The following is a 3,512-nucleotide window of genomic DNA, read 5'->3' as shown; positions in this document are numbered from 1 at the left end:
TTTCAACTCACACCTATGTAGTCTCTTACATTATCAGCATAAATATTTTCAAAGATTTCAAATTACTGTTGCTGTTATTGATTTGGGTAAACAAATGCCCCATTTATTCTCTTAACTGGACAGAAGTGATTACTCCCTGCCTGAATGCATGAAAACACCAAACCAACATTTTAATTGAAATTTCATTTAAAAATCCTGAGCCAGCTGCAAGTTTGACCCAGCGAATGTGTCATTCTCTGGCCTCTATGCACGTAGTGCCTCCTCTCTAAACTAAATCCAAGAGCTCAGATTGGCCCCTACTGGACAATAGCCACCAATGCAAAAGAGCAGGGATCTCTTTGACTGCTCTGGGTTTCATTGCCCTCATGCTCATCACTGTGGCTGACTGACACCAGGCACCAGAGGCGATCCTGAACAGTAACCACGTATACATTATCAGAATGAAGCTCACTCATTTTCCATAACTGAATTCAGTGTTTTCTGATAAAAAGAAATTTTCTTTCCTTTTGGCCACTTAAAGTAGGAATGACAGTGCTAAATGGGTAAATTTCTGCCCTGGGTAATTTCAGAAAATGGAACTCTGTGCCTCAGGATGTTGTCAAGTGTGATCTGTCATTAACGGAGGGGAACTGGCAACTTAAGTCATCAATGGTCACAAGTGAAGCGTCCTAACTTCACTCCCATCCTTACTCATCTTTCCAAAGAGCACTCACTCAACTCGATCTTTGGATATAAGTGGTCTCAAAAGGTTGTCCCATGATCTGCAACAAACAATGTTTCTCAACCAAATTGTCAAGGAAAATTATAACACACAGCAATTGAATGTCTTCTTTTTTTGCCCCTTTGACTTGTTCTCAAGGTTTCAGGTAAGCAATAGGGGTAAGAGAAGAGGCACTTTCTTCAGACTAAAATGAGAGGGAGCTGACTGTGAAGATTCAACTGTCTTTATTCAACAGGTGGTGTAACTACTTCATGGACACTCTCCTACCCTCATGGCCAGGAGCTGAGAGAGATTCTCAGCAGCTGTTGTTGGACAGTGCTCATTAACACAAACAAAACAGCATTGCTTCCTAGATTCTTTGTACTACATAGTATTTGCAGGACTTTTTATGACAAAAAGTAATTGCCTAGCCACCAACTAACTTTCCCAATACTTGTTTTCTCTGTTATTTATCTTGACTTTTACCTGATTATCCCTTGTTTCAACCCTGCTACCTGATCAATAACCACAATATGTCCCCATCCCGCCCCATCCTTCCCCATCCTTAACCCAGTGATTCTGTGCTCCTGTTTCCTCTGCTCTTTCTCATCAACTCTGTTTTTGTTTTTGTTTTTTTTTCCTTTTTGAGTTGGAGTCTTGCTCTGTCACCCAGGCTGGAGTGCAGTGGCACGATCTCAGCTCACTGCAACCTCCGCCTCCCAGGTTTAAGCAATTCTCCTGCCTCAACCTCCAGAGTAGCTGGGATTACAGGCACCCGCCACCATGCCCAGCTAATTTTCGTATTTTTAGTAGAGATGGGTTTTCACTATGATGGTCAGGCTGGTTTCAAACTCCTGAGCTCAAGTGATCCGCCTGCCTCAGCCTCCCATAGTGCTGGGATTATAGGCATGAGCCAATACGCATGGCCGTCAATTCTGTTTTCTTTGCCTTAGAGTTAGCCTCTCAGTGTCATCTTTCTGGTCTACTCTGTCCCCAAGAATACGTTGTTAACACTATGGCCTGTTTTTCTTGGTTTTGGAGTTACTCAGTTAGACAAGGGACACTAAACCAGTCTTAAGCTCTTTCCAGGAATATGAAAAGTTGCCAAAGTGCCCTTTAGTTGAGTACTAGAAGTCAGGAAGAACAGCAAGGCAACAACCTTTGAGTTCATGCCCAGTGCAGAGCTCTGCAGACATAAGGCAACAAAGATCTGAGAGCTGGTTGGAGAGAGACCAGGCATGACTTTGCTGATGTTGGGCACAGGGCAGTTCCTGTCACTGCAATAGTTTCATGATATAGGGCAAGGTGGCTTAACGTGTGCTTTAGAGAAATATTGGGGACCAAAGACAAAGTCATTCATATGTTTGATGGGTTAAGCTCTTAGTAAGAAACAACAACAACAACAACAACAAAACAAACCCAGTATATAGATTATATGGGGACGTAATAAAGGTTTGCAGATAAAGACAAATACTACATACTCTTATCAAATAGTACAATTAGAAGCAGTGTATAATAAGTTTCCCAAATAGGATATACTTGGAAGTGAAGAGCTACTCCTAACAATTACATAGGGACAGCAGTTGTACACCAGGACCACCCAATACATCAAAACATATTTTCACCTTAAATATATATATATTTTTTTTCTTTGGAGACAGAGTCTCGCTCTGTCACCCAAGCTGGAGTATGACACGACCTTGGCTCACTGCAACCTCTGCCTGCTGAGTTCAAGTGATTCTCCTGCCTCAGCCACCTGAGTAGCTGGGCCTGTAGGCGCCCACCACCATGCCCGGCTAATTTTTGTATTTTTTTAGAGATGGGATTTTACCATGTTGGCCAGACTGGTCTCGAAATCCTGACCTCAAGTGATCCGCCCCCTTTGGCCTCCCAAAGAGCTGGGATCACAGGTGTGAGCCACCAGCCCCCACCTTAAATATATAACTTATTTCACAAATATCCAATGAGAATGTCCAATGTCCTGAATTTGTGGTGTAGGGATTGCTGGTTGGGTGTTAACAGGTGTCTATCTGGAACTTGCTAGAAATCCACCCACTAGGGCGTTAAGGAAAACTGTTCCCTGGGACAAGTCTCACTGGAGGAAATTCTCTACAAACACACCTGAGGGAGGTGTCGGGAAGGCTGTTAGCCATAGAGTGCCGCTGGCCACCAAGCACCGCAGGGCCACTGTGCTGGAGAAGCTGGCATGCTGCAGGACCCAAGCTCTGGGCACTGCAGGAGCTGGCTAGAGAGTACAGTGGAAGCAGAAATCATAGCCCTTTTCTCCTGTAGTGTCTCTCCAGAGCCCTCTACCAACAAAACTTAATGTTATGCTAGCTGGCAAAAACAAGCATTTAAACGGCTCAGATGCATTTTCACAGACCAGGCAATAAAGGAGGAAATTAGAGCCGAGAGGCAATAAACTGATAACTGGCCCACACAATAAAAGCATATCACCCACGGACCCACTCCTCAGAGCCGTCTCTTTGGACTGCTTTGGTTTTAGGTTCTTCTAGTGGTTACTTACAGTATTAAGCTAATACTTGTAATTCTTGGTATATCAACTTTAAGTTGATCATCTTGGTATATCAACTTTAAGTTGATCATCTTGGTATATCAACTTTAAGTTGATCATCTACTAATAGCTTACCATGAAAAATGAGAAATGTGGCCTATTTTACCATCCCCTTCTCATCTCAATGTTTCTTAATTAAGATGGTAGTCACCTAAGAAATGTTAAATAATATGCTTAAGCCTCATTTCCACCCATTATACTTGGACAGCATTTTCTTTTTCTTTTTTCTTTTTTTTT

The 3,512-nt window shown here is 42.7% G+C and overlaps 1 annotated feature.

Annotated features, from left to right (window-relative positions):
* Positions 2,754-2,932: a silencer, noted in NCBI's record as "fragment chr2:103898787-103898965 (GRCh37/hg19 assembly coordinates)". NCBI's record gives its function as "represses an EF-1alpha promoter that drives an FKBP-Casp9 reporter gene in an ReSE screen in K562 erythroleukemia cells {active_cell/tissue: K562}" and the evidence as "EXISTENCE:reporter gene assay evidence [ECO:0000049][PMID:32094911]".

The sequence above is a fragment of the Homo sapiens genome, chromosome 2 (genome assembly GCF_000001405.40).
Source record: "Homo sapiens chromosome 2, GRCh38.p14 Primary Assembly".
In the NCBI taxonomy this organism is placed as follows: Eukaryota; Metazoa; Chordata; class Mammalia; order Primates; family Hominidae; genus Homo; species Homo sapiens.
The sequence above is the reverse complement of the archived record's forward strand: the minus strand, read 5'-3'. Positions and strand labels throughout refer to the sequence as shown.